Source organism: Homo sapiens, chromosome 3 (assembly GCF_000001405.40).
Source record: "Homo sapiens chromosome 3, GRCh38.p14 Primary Assembly".
NCBI classification, from domain to species: domain Eukaryota; kingdom Metazoa; phylum Chordata; class Mammalia; order Primates; family Hominidae; genus Homo; species Homo sapiens.
Window position 1 is genome coordinate 122,759,092 of NC_000003.12, and position 20,630 is coordinate 122,779,721.

The window sequence follows — 20,630 nt, forward strand, 5'->3', positions numbered from 1 at the left end:
TGAGGCAGGCTGACAGGATGGGGCTGGGACTACACCTTGGGGTATTGCCCTATTCTCTCTGCCACCCCTATTGCATGCATGCACATGTGCGTTCCACACACACACACACACACACACACACACACACATTACCTTCCTTGTACCTGGAATACCAAGTTACAACCATAGGAGTCCAGATGACAGGGTGTGTGGGCTCCCAAGGAGCCAATCCACAATGTACTTTCCTGTCCATTTCTTCCAGGAAACCCGAAGTCAGACCATTTCACATCCTGTTTTGAAATAAAGTTGCAATCCATCAAGAACTAACCAACTTCTCTGTATGGTAATGCTGCCCATTTTCACTTGCACATCTGTTATTTAGCAGTTGGAATATTCTATTATGGAAAATGCTACAGATGGAAGAGGTTAGGTTTCCAGGGCAGTTCAAGAAATCTTTTTAGCCAATAACATATTTGAATAACCACACTAATAGTAATCATTCAACAAATATTTACTGACTACTTACAACATGCCAGGCACTGTTCTGGAAGCTTGTAATGAATCAATGAACAAAAGAGACAAAATGCCTACTCGGATGAAGCTTACATTTCAGAGTTGGAAACAGACAATAAACAGACAGGATTATGCTGATATTTAGGGAAAGCGTGTTTTGGGCAGTTAGAACAGTGAATGCAGCGGAAATGGCATTATTTCAAATATCTCTGAGACACAACCGAAGAAGTCAGAAAGCCGTATTTCCTCTAAGCAGTGCAGATATTTGTGTACATACGCAACTTACTAACTTTGTGTACTTCAATGACCACATAAATGAAGACTTCTCCTACATTAGTGGGGTTACTTAAAACTATCAATGCTGGAGCCTTAGCTCATACCTACTAGATCAGTCTTCAGATGAGGGTGTCAAAATACATCTTTTGAAATATACATCCATGGATGGCTTTCAATATACTCCCCAAAGTCATGAACTTCTTAAGTGCAATGATCTTTAGAACAGAGACAGCATAGTGCTCTGGACTTAAGACTCTCCATATGCCTGGTTCTGTGAGCAAATCCTGCCCAAGTCAACTACTGGGAAAAGCCTATACTTTTAGAAGCCGATGGCGCATTTGCAGCACAGAAAAATAGGGTCACACATAAACCCAAATCCATGTGATTAAACAGATTTATAAGCTAGAAAAGAAAAAAAACATACTAGTGAACCAGGCATGATGGCTCTGCCTTATTTTTATTTTAATCATGAGGTTTTCCTTTCAGTTTTAAAAAATAAAAGCAAAAAAAAAAACACCCCACTTCTATGTGCAGAACATCGTTCTCAATGCTGACACTCCTTTTATCAGTAACTACAGTCTAAATTTTCTATTTTTAGAGGGAAAACATTAACAGCTGTATTCAAAGAGAAAGGATTTTAAAGAGAAATTTAATGGATGGTTTTGAGGAAGACTAGAAAGAGCATTTTTTTTTTTCATTTTTGCTTTGAGTGATGAAAATGGCTGAATACGTGCACATAATTAATGTCTGTCATAGAAGGGGGAATTTTTGCAAGGTCAGCACCACTGTAAATGCACATGGCTCACATGTGGCAGTTCCAGTGGGTGGCAAAAATCCTGTTCTCTCTGCATGTAGCCTATAAGCTCCATACTGGGAGCTTACCCCTGTTTTCTCAATGCCTAATTTAGTACCTGGCTCAGGGTTACAGCTTGGAACACACTGGCTGCTTGGGAGGGAAAGAAGAATCTGTTGACTTATGATGGTTAAAATAGTTCAGGCCAATGACATTTTTGAGTACCTACCATATACGTGGTATGATGCTGGGTGCTGGGGATACAAAAATTAATATAACACAGGCCAACCCTTCAAGTCTAATAATGAGTGATAATCCCATAAACAGAGCCTTTCAATATGATGTAACAAGCGCTCTGACACAAGTATGCAGGGAATGCTTTAAGATCACAGCAGGAGGGCCCTGCACCCAGCCAGGGAGCTTAGGGGAGGCTTCCAATTAACCTGGTCCTTGTTGAACAATTTACCACACCTCAGTCTGAGGAATTTAACTAAAGGTAGCTGAAAGCCATTCAGTATAAAAAGGAAAAAAGAGAGACTTGCCTTAGCTAAGAAGAGATAGGTCATGTGATTCTTAATCTTATAGATACATCCCTTCAGGAATCTAATGAATACCAAAGCCCCTTCTCCTCAGAAAAAAGCACACACGAAACTTTATATATACTTTCAAAGAGGTGACAGACCAACCCCACATGAAAAACCCTGTTCTAGAGCCCTGCTTTGGAAAGAATCACTGAAGGTTTTTCTACAGGGTGAGGTTACTGTATGAGAAACTGAGGAGAGACTTCCCTGGCCTCCTGTCTAACAGTAATAATGACTTAAAAAGCAAAACTGTCAGCCAGGTGCAGTGGCTCATGCCTGTAATCCCAGCACTCTGGGAGGCTGAGGTGGGAGGACTGCCTGGGTCCAGGAGTTCAAGACCAGCGTGGGCAATGTTTGGTGAGGCTCTGTCTCTACAAAAAGGTTTTTTTTTTTTTTTTAACAAATTGGCTGGGCGTGGTGGCATGCACCTGTGGTCCCAGCTACTTGGGAGGCTGAGAAGGGAGGATCACTTGAGCTTGGGAGGTCAAGGCTTCAGGGAGCTATGTTTGCACCACAGCACTCCAGCCTGAGTGCCTGAGTGACAGAGCAAGACCTTGTCTCAAAAAAAAAAAAAAAAAAGCAAAATTGTCAGTGTAAAAATAGACAGCATTGAGAGTTGGGATTCTCTTCCCAATTAAGTTCAGCCACTTATGGGTAGTCAAATGTCTGAAGTCAATGTGGGCCCAGGAATCTGTCTTGAGTCTTGCTAGAAACAGGAGGCCCTGTTTGAGTGCTGCATCTGTAAAACCAAAAAGGGTGATCAGTGGGGTGATCTGTTCTGGAGTCTACTCATACATACCTCAAGAGTTGGAAAAATCTTTAAAAATCATCTATTCTCAGCAAGTTCTATTCTACACCATCCCTGAAAAGAGCGACAAGTAGCTAGCTAGTTGACCACTTACTACAAAATCAGTATCTACTTCCTGGTAGCTTACAGAGGAGGGTCCTAGATCTGCTTTCTATAACTAAAGAGAACAAGTTTATTTCCTGCCAAAAATTGCTATTTTTATCAGAAAACTGTCCAACTTCTCCTTTATCTTTTTTTTTTTTTAACCTAGACACAGCAGCATTAACTTTTCCTTCCAATTGCTCTTCTCTCAATTTCCTTTACTTTGTCAACAGCCCTAAAGCCTGGCTCCCAAACTGAACCCCAGATACAGTCTACACAGAACCTGTATCCATGGAATTGTAACATTCCATGACCCGCACATCATACCATTAATGCACTGTCAGACGGCACTTTTCTTTTTAAGCAACTAAATTATACCAAGGCTAATATTGGGCCTCCCTGTCTCTTACTTGCAGACTGTTGCTTAGCATATCTCTTCAGCCTTGACTTATAGTCAAGGACTAGCCTAATATTTCCTAATTTTCCTTGTGATTTACTATTTGACTTATGGATTATTTGGAAGTGTAATGTTTAATTTCAAATTTTTGGGGATTTTTCAGCTATCTTTTTGTCATGAATTTTTAATTTAATTCTGTTGTGGTGAGAGAACATAATTTGTATGAGTTAAATCCTTTTAAATTATTGAAACTTGTTTTATGGCCCAGAATATAATCAATCTTGATAAAGATTCCATATGCACTTGGAAATAGTGTTTTCTGTTGTTGGGTGGAGTGTTTTATAAATGTCAATTAAATCAAGTTGATTGTTCAAGTCTCCTGTATCCTTACTGATTTTCTGTATATTTGTTTTACCCATTATAGAGACAGAGGTATTGAAATCCCCCTACTATAATTGTGTATTTGTGTTTTTCTCATTTTAGGTTGGTCAGTTTTGTTCATGTATTTTGAAACTGTTATTGGGTTCATACACATCTGGGATTATTATATCAGCTTGGTGAAGTGACCTTTTATTGTGATGAAATACCCTCTCTACCTTGGGTTTACTTGTTCTGATGTTAACTATGTCTGTCTCCTCCTTTGATTAGTGTTAGCATGAAAAAGGAGTACTTACTATATGATTCCATTTTTATGAAATTCTAGAACTGCCAAACTAACCTGCAGTGACAGAAAGTAGATCAGTGGTGTCTGAGAATGAGGGTGTAGGGAGAGACAGGTTAGGAAGGGACACTGGGAACCTTCTGGACATGATCAAAATGTCTGTCATCTTGAATGTGGTGATGGTTTCTTGGGTGTAGGTATATGTAAAACTTAATCAAACTGTTCACGTTAAATATATGCTGTTTATTACATATCAGTTATACCCCAATAAAGCTGTGTGTGTTTTTTTTTAATACAATACTATTAGTACACTTTGGTCCCACTGTCTCGACACTAGCAGTTTTGTTCACCATTGCATTTGTATTATCAGTGCAAATGTCAACACTGTGAAATAAGCAAGTATCATCTTAGAAGTATTATGAAAATAATTTTGATCTCAAAGATCCTCTGAAAGGGTGTCAGGGACCCCCAGGGGTCTATGGGCCACTCTGGTTTACAACATCACAACTGTAATTACTCTATTTTTTTCTGTTCTGACTCCTCCTCTAAGTAATTCTAAAACAGTTTCTTATGAAAATACATTTTAAATCATACTCCAGATTAAAATTAAAATACTTTAATCATGTTCACAAACATTTTATAAGTTAAAATTATATAAGGATAGCATTTAAGACCCTCCCAAGTATGGCTGATGCCGCCTGTCTGCTCCACGCAAGGCCCTGTCCAATCTCCCCACTGACCTATGTTCTCTCTTCCCTCCTGGCCTCTGCTCATGCCCCCTTCAATTTCTGCCTGTTAAAGTTCTATGTTTTAGGGCCTGGCTCAGGTTCAGCCTTGGCTATGAAGCCTTCTCAACCGCTTGTCCCCATATCCATCTGTCCCTTGCCTTCCTTCCTATATGTTTTATTTGGATTACTATTTAAATGGTAAGCAACACAGAACGTTTGTGTTCTGTTCCTTTAACAATATTGTAAGCTCTTTGGGCAATGTTTTATAATTTTTTATTCCTGCAAACTGCTAACATAGTGCTGAATACATAATAGGTATTTGAATGATTATATAAGTGGATTTTTTCCTACTCTATTTCTTGTTTTGATATTTCTCTGGTCTTTAGGACCCCTCAGAGAATGTTTTGACTTAAACCCCTAGCTTCACCTTTGTCAAATTTTCTGTGGCTTCTAGTTAATCAGTGTAGCATTTGTCAGCCTTGGTAAGAAATTCTTAATCTCTCTGGCCCTCTACTAGTTTTTTAAGTTTTTACTTATAGCCTCTACTTGAAGTTTCCTCTTATTAACTCTTTTCTTCCACAAATTAAATTCATCCATGAAAAATATGTACATTGATAAACATACTAATATGATTGGAAAATATCCTGTAGCCTTGAGATGGCCTAAAAGTATGATTTTGACACTTAACTGACTTTTGTGTATAGCAAATAAAATTAATCTTATTATTTTTTAGTTATACATCATATCATTGACTAAATAAAGCATTTGTTTTGAACATTTTGTTCTCTACTTTCCTAGAAAGGTAGGGAATTTGTGACAGTACAAAACAAAATTTCTTGCTCTCAGACTCATTAGGTAAGAATGACAAGTTTTACCTTTTGCAATTATCGTAAGTATCATCATAATTGAAGTTATTAAGAATCAACATGTAACAAAAGGGATTTTGCCCCAAGGATGCTTCTCAGGTAGATTCCATTTGATATTGTGATTTGAATTGGCTACTGAAGGTCAGGAGCCTCGTTAAGTCACCAGGACACAGAATCCCAAAATACAGTAGATGGAAGATTAGTTGTAACATGTCTTGGACTTTAAAACATAGCTATGAGAGCATGTTGAAATTGAGGCAGGTGATTTGGTAATGAATAATGGCGTCTGATGGCCAGTGATGCTTTCTGATGAGACAAGTTGGAATGTAAGAATTAAGGTGTTTATCAAGCCTTTTCTGTTTATGTACCTAAGGTAATTTTTCTAAGGAAAAAAAGACTCAGACAATTGCTAATGTATAATGTCCATTTAAGGGGCTGTTTGAAATTTGGATTGAAATATTTATCCTTCGTAAGTTTTGGATAGTAATTATAGTTAATTATATTATTTTAAAAGTTGCATTTTTGGCTGGGCATGATGGCTCATGCCTGCAATCCCAGCACTTTGGGAGGCTGAGGCAGGCGGATCACTTGAGTTCAGGAGTTCGAGGCCAGCCTGGCCAACATGGTGAAACCCCGTTTCTACTAAAAATCCAAAATTTAGCCAGGTGTGGTGGTGCACGCCTGTAATCCCAGCTACTCAGGAGGCTGAGGCAGGAGAATTGCTTGAACCTAGGAGGCAGAGGTTGCAGTGAGCTGAGATCATGTGACTGCACTCCAGCCTGGGTGACAGAGTCAGACTCTGTCTCAAAAAAAAAAAAAAGAGAAAAAGAAAAAAAAAAAGAAATACATGAGCCTGAAAGCTTCCTAACACTATTTTTCTGATAAGAACAGTGGTATTAACAAATGTGACTTTTTGAATAATGAAATGTATCAAGTATACTGAAAATGTGTCAACATTTGGAAGATCTACTAATTCAGTAAGTCAATATTTTCCAAATGGTCCATGAATAACATTACATAAGATCCATTCTGTGCAAGACAGACCAATGGATTTTATAAGAGTAGAGAGTTCATTCATTATAGGTTCAGATTTTTATACTGCAACTAATGAACCTTTAAGAAACTACCCCTCATCAAGTTTGGTGTGTGTGGTATAAAAAAATCCACAATTATCTGAAAAGGCTGTTATTAATAAATACTCCTCCCTTTTTCAGTTTCATATGTGTGTGAGGCAAAATTTTCTTCATATACTTTAAACAAACCAACAAATTGCAACAGCTTGAATGGAGAAGCAGAGAATCCAGCTGTCTTCTTACAGCCAGACATCAAGAAGACATGCCAAAATGTACAACAATCTATCCCTCTAATGACATTAAACATTTTTTGAATATAGTTATTTTCTCAAAAATATTATTATGTTAACGTATAGTGGGTTGTGTCATTTTAAATAAATCAATAAACATTTTTAAAATGTACCCATTTTAATGTTTAACTACCCACCATTTTATGACAGATATAAGAAAGCTTGAAACAGCAAGTAATAAGACTTGGTGGCTGAATGAATTAAACCAACACAGGTACCTGTGATGTAAGAAGACTTGGTGCCCAGAAAATTTTGAGACAAAAGATGATATAATCTTAATGGACTTGGTTATTCATAGCAGAATTAATTGCCATAATATGAGCTGACAGAAAACTCATTCAACTCAAAATATCAGATTTTATAAGGGCTCAGTCAGAATTCCAGCACATTGCCAAAAGGCTGCCCTTTATATCCGCACTTAATGGACAGGTCACATACTGCACAGTACTGCCTTGCCTGGGGTGGGACAGAACTACTAATGGGGTCAGATCAAACACTCATCCAAGGCAGAGTGAGCCTACACTCAGGACAGAGAGTCCCAACAGGACCGAATGTATGCACACGCTCTGTAGGCACAGCAGTAATTAAAGCTCTGTAGTAGTTAAAGCTCTGAAGGCAGACTATTTGGGTTACCCCTTCCTTGTTGTATAATCTTAGAAAAGGTTTACTTAACCTCTTTGGGTCTCATTTTTCTTAAAATGGGGACAATTATTAAATCATAGAGTTACTTTGAGGATTATAAGTGTAAAACATTAGAAAAATTCCCCCAAAAAGTAAGTACATGATCAATGTTACTATTAAGCAATATTTTACCTGAAATATGGAGTAAAGTACTAGTCTAATTTACGGAATGGTGGGGCGTGGGTATGAGAAACATAACAAAACACTTTTAAAGTTAACTATGAAACCTGTAAGTTCCATAATTAAAGAACCATAAAGTGATCACAATTAAGGTTGTAAGAAAAAACATCTACCTTAAAATTATCATTTAAAAATGAGTAAATAGTAGATTTGGTATTGACTTTGAATTCAGAGTCATTTACTGAATGTTTTTAAAACCTATGCATTTCTTTCATGGGTATGAGAATGAAAATACATTCTCAACTAACAACTATGACAGGACGGGCACAGTGGCTCACGCCTGTAATCCCAGCACTTTGGGCGGCCGAGGCTGGTGGATCACTTAAAGTCGGGAATTTGAGACCACCCTGGCCAACATGGTAAAACCCTGTCTCTACAAAACAATACAAAAATTAGCTGGGCATGGCGGCAGTCACCTGTAATCCCAGCTACTGGGGTCAGGGGGTGGGTGATGGCTGTGGCAGGAGAATTGCTTGAACCTGGGAGGAGGCAGAGGTTGCAGGGAGTCGTAATTGCGCCACTGCATTCCAGCCTGGGTGACAGAGTGAGACTCCATCTCAAAACAACAATGACAACAACAACAAAAAAAACAACTATGGGGCAAGGTGACACATTTTTCCTTTTTTATAAAATAAAAAAGCAAAATTAAGCCAGGCGCAGTGGCACATTCCTATACTCCCAGCAACTCGGGAGACTGAGATGGGAGGATCTATTATAATAACTATGTTAACATCAGCATTTACATCTTGACTCAACATAAAAAAGAAAAATATACACTGAATGGAAAATTACTGAGGAGCCAAAGAACTATCAGCCTATATGAAAGCCAAGTCCAGAGAGTGGGTGGTGGCAGAGAGGAGAAGGGGTGAACAGCCTGCAGGGATGGTGAAATACTTCTCTCCACAAAGAAGGGGCAGGAAGAAGGACTCTGGAGCCTTGGCCTGAGTCAGGGCAAGGCAGAGTCCTCCAAACAGCCTCCAGGATGGCTCCCATTCCTGCCCCACACCTAAGACACATGGCAACAAGAGCAGGGAGTTTGCAAAATTATCTCACAAAATAAACTGCCAGTTTAAGGTAGAAAACACTTAAAAGAGGATATGGTAGTCTGGAAACTCTGTTGTCAGTTATGTCAACATACGGCAAAGAACTTCCATAATTTTACTTCTGCAAGTCACTCCCACACTTCTACAGGGCTTCCACTACCAAATACTGGGAGCCAAGTGTTCTCTGCCTCAGGCCATGAACTGCCAGAGAAAACAGCTGTCCAAAACCCCTAGAGCAGGTAGAAATTGCAGCAGCAGCCTGGTCACAGCCCAAGGAATGCTCCTTCACAGAATCAGCTTTATGCTTTCATCTGCCTCACTGACAGGACAAGAACTTATATGGAGGTCAGGAGGCAATGAAGTTTTATACACAATCTATGCTTCTAACATACTCCAAACCGACTCAAGCACTGTTTAAAAGCAAAGGAGGGTGTGTAGGAAGTTTGGGAGTAGGAAAACAAGGAAGCCTGCTCATCTGTGTGAGCCAAATGGTACACTTCTCTTCAGCAAATCTTTTGGTTTGAGTGGGTGAAATATCCAAGATTCATGGCGATTACTTATGAGAGAAAAAGGCAGAGAAGGTGCCAGGGAGATTCTAATTTGTGTTCTTTTCTCAAAAACAAATTCCTACCAAGATTAGAAGGAAGGTTCTGACTTACCTGGAAAAGATCTGTCTTGTCTTCAAATAGACTGACAAAATATTTATAGTCAGCATAAGCCCAGAACTTGGAATGGTCATAATCTCTAAATGGTCCAGAAATACTAGACTGGTCACAGTTCCAGGTCAGAAACTCTTCGAGTGTAGCTTCTACGTAATTACATGTAGTTTCAAACTGAGGAACTGCAATGTAAGAGAATGCAACCTTAAATGTATAATGAACACATTTCCTAATTATTGTTTTTTTTTTAAAATAAAGATAATTTCAACCAAAAAATTAACTTTGAAGACTAATTAAAAATTCGTGTTGAGCCAGGTGTGGTGGTGCATGCCTGTAATCCTAGTTTCTCTGGAGGTTGAGGCAGGAAGATGGCTTGAGCCCAGGAATTTGAGACCAGTCTGTGCAACAGAGCAAAACCCCATCTCCAAAAAAAAATTAATTAAAAAATTTAAAAATTAATTTGTACTTGTTATATAATGAGTGCCATTTACAAAATTCACAATACTCAGGATTAAACATAAAAGTATAAAGCAGTTTTAACCTTAAGATTAAAGACTACCCTATGAGTAGATTTAATAATCCAAACTTGAGGATTTAGTAAATAAAAACTTGAGGCACCATACAGTTAAATGCAAAATTTTATGCTGCTGACACCTGGAAAAGGCAAAGACCACTAGAGATGAGGGTTGATCAGGAAAGCTTCAATAAAAGATGTATTATCTGTCCACAGTGGCTTGTTATTATGGGTATGACTCCAATGAGTCAAGATTGGAGTCAGTGGATTGACACAAAAACTATTCTAAAAGAATGATGAAATTAATTTTATTTTTGCAACTTAAATGAACAGAGGAAGTTAATATTTAAGAAATCTGATTATGACTTCCTTTACAAAACATGAAATCCTTTCAGGATGTGATGTAGATCAGTTAGCACAGTGCTTGACACAGCAGATTTCAATAAATGTTCGCCACTATTTTTTTATTTTTTGTTTTTGTTTTGAGACAGGGTCTTGCTCATCATACAGGCTGGAGTGCAGTGGTGCAATCTCGGCTCACTGCAACTTCTGCCTCCCGAGTTCAAGCAATCCTCGCGTCTCAGCCTCTCAAGTAGCTAGGACTAGAGGCATGTGCCACCACGTCTGGCTAATTTTTGTATTTTTTAGTAGAGATGGGGTTTGGCCATGTTGGCCAGGCTGATCTTGAACTCCTGCCCTCAAGTGATCTGCCCACCTGGGCCTCAAAGTGCTGGGATTACAGGTGTGGGCCACCGTGCCCAGTCAATGTTAGGCACTATTATTAGTACTTCTTATCCATTCATATATTTACTTGGAACCCTTTAAAAGTTAGCTGAATCAGTAGCAGGAAGAGAAGAATATTCACATTCTTCTTTCAACAGCTTTTATCTTTTCTTACGTTTCTGCCTGTAACTGCTTAGAATTATCCAATAATCTTTTTCCTTTACCTTCTTTTTCCTAAGCCACAGAATGGCAGAGAGGTAATAGAGGCAGGGTGTATGTCAACGAATCATCCTAATTCATCCACTTTAACTTGTCACCTCACTTTGAGAAGCAGAAGAACTTAACTAGGGCACATTTATCTAAAAGATTAAAATGTACATATTCAAGAACTATTTAAATTTTAACAATTTTTGTAAAGCACTTAGTGCCTGGCACATAGTAAACAATCAATATACATAAACTCTTAACATACCAACATTGGCCAGGCGTAGTGGAACATGCCTATAATCCCAGCACTTTGGGAGGCCGAGGTGGGAGGACTACTTGAGCCCAGGAGTTTGAGATCATCCTGGGCAATACGGTGAAACCCTGTCTCTACAAAAAATACAAAAAAATTAGCCAGATGTGGTAGCACGTGCCTGTAGTTGCAGCTACTCGGGCAGCTGAGGCAGGAGGATCACTTGAGCCCTGGAGGTTGAGGCTGCAGTGAGTAGAGATTGTGTCACCGCACTCCAGCCTGGGTGACACAGTGAGATCCTGTCTCAAAAAAACAAAAAACAAAAAACAACCAAAAAATTATCAACTTCATCAAAAATTTACCATAAAAGCACAGAATTACATAAAGTTTAATTTTGACAAACAAAAGTGCATGTGGCAAGAAAGCTGTATGACTCTGGGAAATAGGAGTCATTTCTAAAAGATTTAAGTAACTCCACTATAAGCCTAAACATATTATACTGTCTTAGGAGTTTTCACTTCCTAGAATTCAGTCCAACTGAATACTAAAGCCATTAAATGAGCTACTTGCCCCTGGGGCGGACTAAGCAGGACTTTTCTGCTGAGGCCAGCTATCTCAGGCAAGCCTGATTTGCAGCCCCCAGAAACTGGCCTCATTAGAAGACTTCATTTTCTGTTACAGCAAGCTCTGCACATTAAAAAATGTTAAAACTAAAAATGTAAAAATTACATACGAGAACTGTTACTGTCAGGGGAAAATTATCATGAATGGAATGAATGGAAATGACAGATCTTTTCATTTCCATAATGATATAATTTTTTCACTCTTTCCTGGTAGTAGCATCATTAAAGGTACTGCTCTGATTTTGTTATAATGACAATTTCTTTCTGGGTAGTACAGTTGTTATTCTTAGTTTGTCTTATGCAATGAAATTATTCCTTTCTAATTTTACCATGATTCTTTCATTTAACGTTGAAGTAGTCTAGGCAACTATAATGTTCATCCTACTTACTGTAAAGTGCTAGGTAAGAAGCTCAACTGAGGTCAGGATTTGGCAGTGTTGTACAAGCTGAGCTTGCTTTTAATTATTATAAAAAGGGGTCCTAAAATAGTTTCTGCACAACAGGATAACAACTATTTCTCCATTTTGTTAAACTTTCATCATTTTACAAATAAGAAATACTACATGATGCATAAACTCTAAACAGGTCTTTCGATCACTCTATCCCCCTGCTTTCAGATGTTCAGGGTTATTTCTACAACTGCTTGCCAAATTTACTGCCAACTGAGATACAACACTGCCACTGAGCACGTATCTTGGGAAACAAATCTGATCCAAAATGCTATGTGATGTTCTCTATCTGCTTCCTAAAATAAACTAAGGAACACATGATATTCAAAAATGCCAATTATTAACACTTCTATTTCAAGTATTCTAGATAAATTCTAACCAAGACCTAAGACCTAAAACAGAAATAAGAAATACACTCAACAGAGAGGAAACAAAGTTATCCTTACTTTTAAAATCATATGCCTGTCTAACTAGAAAACCCACAAGACAACAAAAAACTACCTAGGCTAATAAGTAGGTGCACACAATATAAACACACAGAAACAACTGGCTTTTCTCTATGACCAATCACAACCAGTTAGAAAACTGTAACAGGCAAAAATATTTCCTTCGTAACAGTTATAATAAATTTACAATATTTTAAGGAATCTGTAGACCTATATAAAAACTATAAATCATTTTACTGAGAGCCAAATAGACTTGATAAGTAAAGATAACATGTTCCTGTGTGGGAAGATACAGTATTATAACAATGGGATTAATTAATTATAGAGCTTAATGAATTTTCATTTGAAATCCCAACAGGATTTCTTTACAGTGAGAACTTTGTGTAACTCTAAAGTTCATTTAGATGTATAAAATTCAATAATATATAAGAAAAAAGAGTAATTAGGGAGGATGAATTGTATATTCAAATATTAAAATACATACCAGAACTAAAATCATGTTTTAAAACTGTTTTACTGGCCCCCAAACTGGTAGCTTAATATGCGGCCCAAAAACCGATGCTGGAATATACAAGAATATAGTAAAATAATAAAGGTGATTTCCAAAGTCAGTAGGGTAAAAAATAAATATTCAGTAAATGGTACAGGAATAAAATTTCCAAATTTAGCTATTTGTGTAAAAAAAATTCATTGACTACCATATACCAAAATAAATAAGAAATGGATAGTTAAATGTAAAAAAGAAATAATCAATTAGAAAAAAATTATTAGAATATTTCTCTATTTTCAGGATAAAGAAGGAATTTCTGAAGTTAAAATAAAAATGTTAATAAAGCATTATTTGATTATATAAAAATATAAAACTGTGAAGCTAAAATGAGAAAGCAAACAATAACTAGGAAGCTTATTAGTTAACAACACAATCTTTATTTTTTCATTTTTTTTACTTATTTTTTTATTTCTAGAGGCAGGGTCTTACTCCATTGCCCAGGCTGGAGGGCAGTGGCGTGGTCAGAACTTTGAACTGCTGGGCTTAAGCAATCCTCCTGCCTCAGCTTCCTGAGTAGCTAAGACTACAGGTGTGCACCATCACACCTGGCTAATTAAAATTTTTTTTTTGTAGAGACAGGATCTTGCTATGTTGCCCAGGCTGTTCTGGAACTCCCAGTCTCAAGTGATGCTTCTGTCTAGGCCTCCTACAGTGCTGGGATTTTAGGTGTGAGTCACTGTGCCATGCCACAATCTTCATAATATATATGAAGAATTCAAAAAAATTTTTAAACCCTAAAATCCCAATAAGGAAATAGTCAAAGACCAATTATCAGGAAAAAATACAAATTACTAATAAACATGAACGTATGTTCAACATCACCAGCAATCAAATAAATGTGTTTTTTTTTTTTTTTTTTTTTTTGGAGACAGAGTCTCACTCTGTGGCCCAGGTTGGAGTGCAGTGGCACTATCTTGGCTCACTGCAACCTCTGCTTCTGGGGTTCAAGCGAGTCTCACGCCTCACCTCCCAAATAGCTGAGATTACAGGCGTGCACCACCACACTGGCTAATTGGCTAATTTTTTGTATTTTTAGCAGAGACGGGGTTTTGCCACGTGCCCAGGCTGGTCTCGAACTCCTGAGCTCAGGTAATCCGCCCACCTTGGCCCCCCAAAGTGCTAGGATTACAGGCATGAGCCACTGTGCCCGGCCAAATAAATGTTAATTAAAATAATGAGATAACATTTTTCACGTAACAGGGCCTCATTCTGTCTCCCAGGCTTGAGTGCAGTAGCATGATCACAGCTGACTGCAGCCTCGACCTCCCAGGCTCAGGTGATCTCCCATCTCAACCTCCTGGGTAGCTGGGACAACAGGTGCACACCATCATGCCAAGATAATTTTTTTATACTTTTTGTAGAGACAGGGTTTTGCTATGTTGCCCAGGCTGGTCTTGAACTCCTGGGCTCAAGCAATCCTCCTGCTCCAGCCTCCCAAAGAACTGGGATTACAGGCATGAGCTACCATGGCCAGCCTGAAAGATCTTTAAGATAAATTTCAGTTTTGGCCAAAGAGTAGCAAAACAGGAACCCTCACATGTTCTGAAAAGAATGTAAATAGAAACCGCCTTCGTGCAAAGCCCTTAGCTGTATGTTTCAAAGTCTTTCATTCTTTCACTTCACAAATTCAATGTCCATTAGGTGCTCAGCCCATGATGAGACGTGGCCCTTGCCCTCACAGAAGTGACCTTCTTGAGGGGAAGAGACTTTAAACAGGTAATTATACAACCATGTGATTACAACTGTGCTAAGTGTTACTAAGAAATACAAAGTGTTCTGAGGTAATTGAATAGTCACACCTGATTTGGGGTATGGGGAAGGATAGATTTGGTCAGGAAAAATGACATTTAAGCTAAGATCTGACAGAAGGAGATGAATTATTTAGGTAAAGTAGGGGGAAAGGGAAGTGAGAAAAGAGAGGCTAGACACAGGGAACTACATACACATGCAAAGGCCCTGAAGTAGGAAGAAACAAAGCCCTGGAAATACAGAAACTGAAAAATGCTTGTCTGGCCTGAGCTCAGGGACAGAAATGATGCTGGGCCTTCCACACCACAATGGACATTTTGGTCTTTAGCCTAAGCGTAACTGGAAGCCATTTAAGTGTTTTAAGCAGAGAAATAAGATTAGATTTGTTTTCCTAAAAGTCATCTCTGGCTTCAGTATGAGGAATGGTGTGGGAAGGGAGGGCAAGGGGTGCAGAGAGACTAGGATGAGGCCACGCAACTATGGAGGTGAGAGACAGCGAGCAGGGTAACGCCCACTAGAGGATGGCTGTGGAGACAGACAGAAGCAGGCAGATGCTAGATATTTAGGATGTAAGTCACTGAGTCACAAGACACCATTCAAGACAGGCAATCAGAATGATTCAGAAGTTCTGGTGTAAGAAGCTTCACAGATAGTGTTGCTACTGATGATAATGCTCATATCCTTTGATCCAGTAACTCTCCTTCTAGGTATCAATCCTAAGGAAGTAATCAGAAACTGACAAAATCTGTTTGCAAAGATGTTCACTACAGTCTTTTTAAAATTTAAAACTTGTAAGCAATCTAAATCATCAAAACTTTAAAATAAATTATGATACTACCAAACAATGAAATATTACGTAGCCATTGAAAAATCATACAATCTCAAGAGAAGCTGCTCAGAGTAAAAGAAAAAAAAAAAGCAAGCTGTGAAAATTAATATAACTTTATTTTTAAAATACAAAAAGGCCTACATGGGCATACCTCAAAATATAACTAGTGATTATCTCTGGGTAGTGGGACCTTTGCAAGTCATATACTTAATAAGGGTAGTATCCAGAATATATAAAGAACTCTTATAACTCAATAATAAAAAGACAAAAACAATTAGAAAATGGGCAAAGGATTTGAATAGACATTTTTCCAAAGAAGACATACAAATGGCCAACACACACATAAAAAGATGCTCAACATTATTAGTCATTAAGGAAACACAAATCAAAACTATAATAATACTTCCCATACACTAGAATAGTTATAATTTTTTTTTCTTTTTTTTTGTACTTTTAGTAGAGACGGGGTTTCACCATGTTGGCCAGGCTGGTCTCAAACTCCTGACCTCGTGATCCACCCGCCTTGGCCTCCCAAAGTGCTGGGATTACAGGCGTGAGCCACTGCGTCCGGCCTAGAATAGCTATAATTTTTAAAATGGAGTGTTGGCAAGGATGTGGAAAAAACTGGAACTCTCATACATTGAAGGTGAGAATATAAAATGATGCAGCTGCTTTGGAAAACGGTTTCTCAAAATGTTAAACACAGAATTACTGTATGACCCAGCAATTCTACTCCAAGAGAAATGAAAATACATGTCCACACAAAAACATGTACATGAATGTTCATAGTAGCATTATCTGTAATAGCCAAAAAATGGAATGACTCAAACGTCCATCAACTGAATAGATAAATAAAATGTACATATTTGTACAACAAAATATTATTTGGCAATAGAAAGAATTGAAGTACTGATATGTATTACAACATGGATGAACCTTCAAAACATACTAAATGAAAGAAGCCAGGCACAAAAGGGCCAATAGTGAATGATTCCACTTATATGATATATTCTAAGTAGTCAAATTCATAGACACAGAAAGTAAATCAGTGGTTGCCAGGGCCTGGGGTAAGGCAGAATGGAAAATGATGGCTTAAGGGGTACTGGGCTTATTTATGGGATAATAGCAATATTCTAGAATTAGATAGTAGTGATGATTGTACAATATTGTGCATATACTAACAACCAATGAATTGCATACTTTTAAATGGCTAAAATGCTAAATTTTATGTTATGTGGATTTTATTTAATAAAAAAGAACATCGTCTTTACTAAAAGCTCAGAGTCATTTCTCACAACCTCAGAGAGTTATTTTCCTTTTTTTTGTGCTTAAGTATTAACTTGAAAATGTCAAATTACTGTGTCTTATCTATAAAATGGGATAACAGCAGCTCTGTCCTAAGGTTTTAGGAAGATTAAGAAAGCTAATACCGTATGTGCAAAGTATTCACAATAGTGCCTGAAACAATAGCTTTAAATAAATATTAGCTATTGGTAGTATTGTGTACTTGGAGTCTAACTAGAATGTGAAAAAATTACTATTTCTATTTTTCTCCAAATTAGTGCCTAACAGACACTTCAGTGAGAGGCAGATTTCTTTGACTAAAATCAAGAAAGAAAAGGCACAATTTGATTTTTATGTTATTGCTGCTGGTCTAAATTGAATTTTAAACAGTTTGGTCTCTGATTATAATGAGATGACAAAGAGTTCCAGGTATATTCAACATGCTACACCTGTCACAGGAGTACAAAGGGGTTCCAGACACCAAAAACTAAATAATTCTGTCAGCTATACTACAAGGTCGAAATGAGAGAAAGCAGCTTGGAGCAGCAGGAAGCGAAGCTGGGGACTTTTCTAGTTCTCCTAAGCTATTAATAGATATTAATAAGCCACTTTACCTCAATGCTTAAAAAACTGAAATTCTAGACTACCAAACTTACCCATATTGAAATACAAGTTAAACATCAGAAAAATGATTATAGACTCTCTTAGATTAGAAACTGTAATTTTAGAGTTAATGGTAAATTACCTAAATTTTAGAGTTAATGGTAATTGCTTTATCTGAAAATAGGGCAAACAAATCAAAATGTTATGATTTTGATTTCAGAAAAGAAGAGGCAGAATCTATTTGCTTAAGAGAATAAAAGAGCGAGCTTTACATATGTTTCATGTTTGTGCAATGCAAAACAGGTCAGTCAGTCAATAAAGCAGAGGGATAAAATTACAACCAAGTAATTATATACAACTATAAATAGTGCCCGAAGCCACAAATAAAAGGACACATTCTACTTGAGTAAAAAGTGGACGGGACTATTAGATTAGTATTGGTCTAATAGGAACATGAATAAGAGCACATTAACAAATATTTATTTATTAAGTGTCTAACATTTAATGAACCACAATAATGTCTAGCAATATACATATAAGATACATGAACAAATACATTTTGTATGGGGTTATAAACTATAGACAAAACAGTCTATAGTTTATACAGACAAAAACAAAAAACACTTAAGCCAAACTGTTTTCCAAACCTTCCAATAAAATGTTCCTGTATGTGCAGTGAATGGTCAAAAAAAGGATTAGAAAGAAAGGATTCTCAAGAGATCAGGAGGCCACTGCTGAGAATGTAGGGATGCTCCTGAAGAGACATTATGATGGTGATTACCTATAGTCATACCTGTGCTCATGCTTTTCATCCCCATTCTGAATCGTATCTGCTTGCCATGAAGGACCTGCGAAAGGTATTTAGCATTCCAGTGTCGTGCTGGCCAATCAAACACCATGTTACAGAAGATTGCAGGTTGTTGTAAAGACATGATAATTTCTTTTGCTTTCTCTGGCTTAAAAGGTTTGACATGTTCACCTAGAAAGAGAAATGAATACAGCAATAGATAGAAAACTATCAAGTTTTTTCATACAATATGGAGAAAAAATAGCTAATATTGTTTTTATCATGGCAAATCATTCTCTACAATTACAATAATGTATACGTCATTTACTGCTGTTTATATACACATGTGGCCTCAAAAGACCTGATTCTTTTCTTTTTTTAGATCCAGGGGTATATGTGCAGGTTTGTTACATGGGTATATTGTAGAATGCCAAGATTTGGGTTTCTATTGAACCTATCACCCAAATAGTGAGCACAGTACTCAACAGGTAGTTTTTTTTGTTGTTTTTTTTTTTTAATGTGTATAGTGTTTTCCAAAATACTTACTTAGAAATTATGATTTAACTTATTAACAATAAAAAGTATATATAGTTCCAATTATAAGTTAATACACACACATTAAATACAATTTGGAAAATACTGAAAAGAACAAATTGATTGGTTGCCTATAGACTACAAACCAAAAACAACCACTGTTGCATTTCAGTTCCTTCTTTTTTTTAACCGTCAAGCTAGACATTTTTATTTTCCAAGGGTATACAAATAGAATTACTACAACCATCCACAGTCTAGTATTTCTTTTTTTTTTATTTTTTTTTTTTTTTTGAGACGGAGTCTCGCTCTCTCGCCCAGGCTAGAGTGCTGGAGTGCAGTGATGCGATCTCGGCTCACTGCAAGCTCCGCCTCCCAGGTTCACGCCGTTCTCCTGCCTCAGCCTCCCAAGTAGCAGGGACTACAGGCGCCCGCCACTGCGCCCGGCTAATTTTTTTGTAGTTTTAGTAGAGACGGGGTTTCACTGTATTAGCCAAAATGGTCTCGATCTCCTGACCTCGTGATCCACCTGCCTTGGCCTCCCAAAGTGCTGGAATTACAGACGTGAGCCACTGCACCCGGCCCACACAGTCTATGATTTCTAAACATTTAAATATCAATGGTTTCTGGAAGATGCTGTTATCCTTCATAGTTCATTGAAAGTTCACATCCCTTCTGTGAAAGCCAAACTTTTCTTCGACCTATAAAATTGTCTTTTCAGAAGTCTCATGGGATGTTTTGTTTGCTTCTCCATATTGATCCTTAATGTGATAGATTTCATTTTCTTTCTTTTTCTTTTTTTTTTGTGAGACAGAGTCTCGCTCTGTCGCTCTGTTGCCCAGGCTGGAGTGCAGTGGCGCAGTCTCGGCTCACTGCAACCTCCACCTCCCGGGTTCAAGCAATTCTCTGCCTCAGCCTTCCGAGTAGCTGGGATTACAGGCACCCGCCACCTCGCCAGGTTAATTTTTTGTATTTTTAGTAGAGACGGGCTTTCACCATCTTGGCCAGGCTGGTCTTGAACTCCTGACCTCGTGATCCACCTGCCTCGACCTCCCGTAGTGCTGGGATTACAGGCATAAGCCACCGCACCCGGCCACATAGATTTCATTTTCTAGTTGAACAATAGTCTGTTCAATCTCATAATTCTTACTGACCAGGGATACCCAATTTGACTCCATTTCTCTCAATTTAGATCCAGCGAGTTGCATGTTCTTTCTCTGCCCGTTAAACTCTTGAATATGTTTTCTTTTATTTATTTATTTATTTATTTATTTATTTTTTATTGATCATTCTTGGGTGTTTCTCGCAGAGGGGGATCTGGCAGGGTCATAGGACAATAGTGGAGGGAAGGTCAGCAGATAAACAAGTGAACAAAGGTCTCTGGTTTTCCTAGGCAGAGGACCCTGCGGCCTTCCGCAGTGTTTGTGTCCCTGATTACTTGAGATTAGGGATTGGTGATGACTCTTAACGAGCATG

General features: G+C 37.8%; 1 protein-coding gene across 7 annotated transcripts in view; it reads right to left on the bottom strand.

The window, feature by feature from the left end:
• The window catches only part of HSPBAP1 (HSPB1 associated protein 1), a 53,833-nt gene that overhangs the window by 19,093 nt on the left and 14,110 nt on the right, over nucleotides 1–20,630 (bottom strand). For 5 of the 7 annotated variants that reach the window (NM_001320728.2, NM_024610.6, XM_047448918.1 and 2 more), the window contains exons 2-4: nucleotides 18,630–18,815; nucleotides 9,610–9,791; nucleotides 133–269 (exon numbers count right to left, since the gene is read on the bottom strand). In NM_001320728.2, coding sequence (NP_001307657.1) covers nucleotides 133–269; nucleotides 9,610–9,791; nucleotides 18,630–18,815 — 505 coding nt within the window. The remainder of the gene's footprint in view (nucleotides 1–132; nucleotides 270–9,609; nucleotides 9,792–18,629; nucleotides 18,816–20,630) is intronic. The other 2 variants (XM_047448919.1, XM_017007179.2) reach the window with 1 other exon arrangement.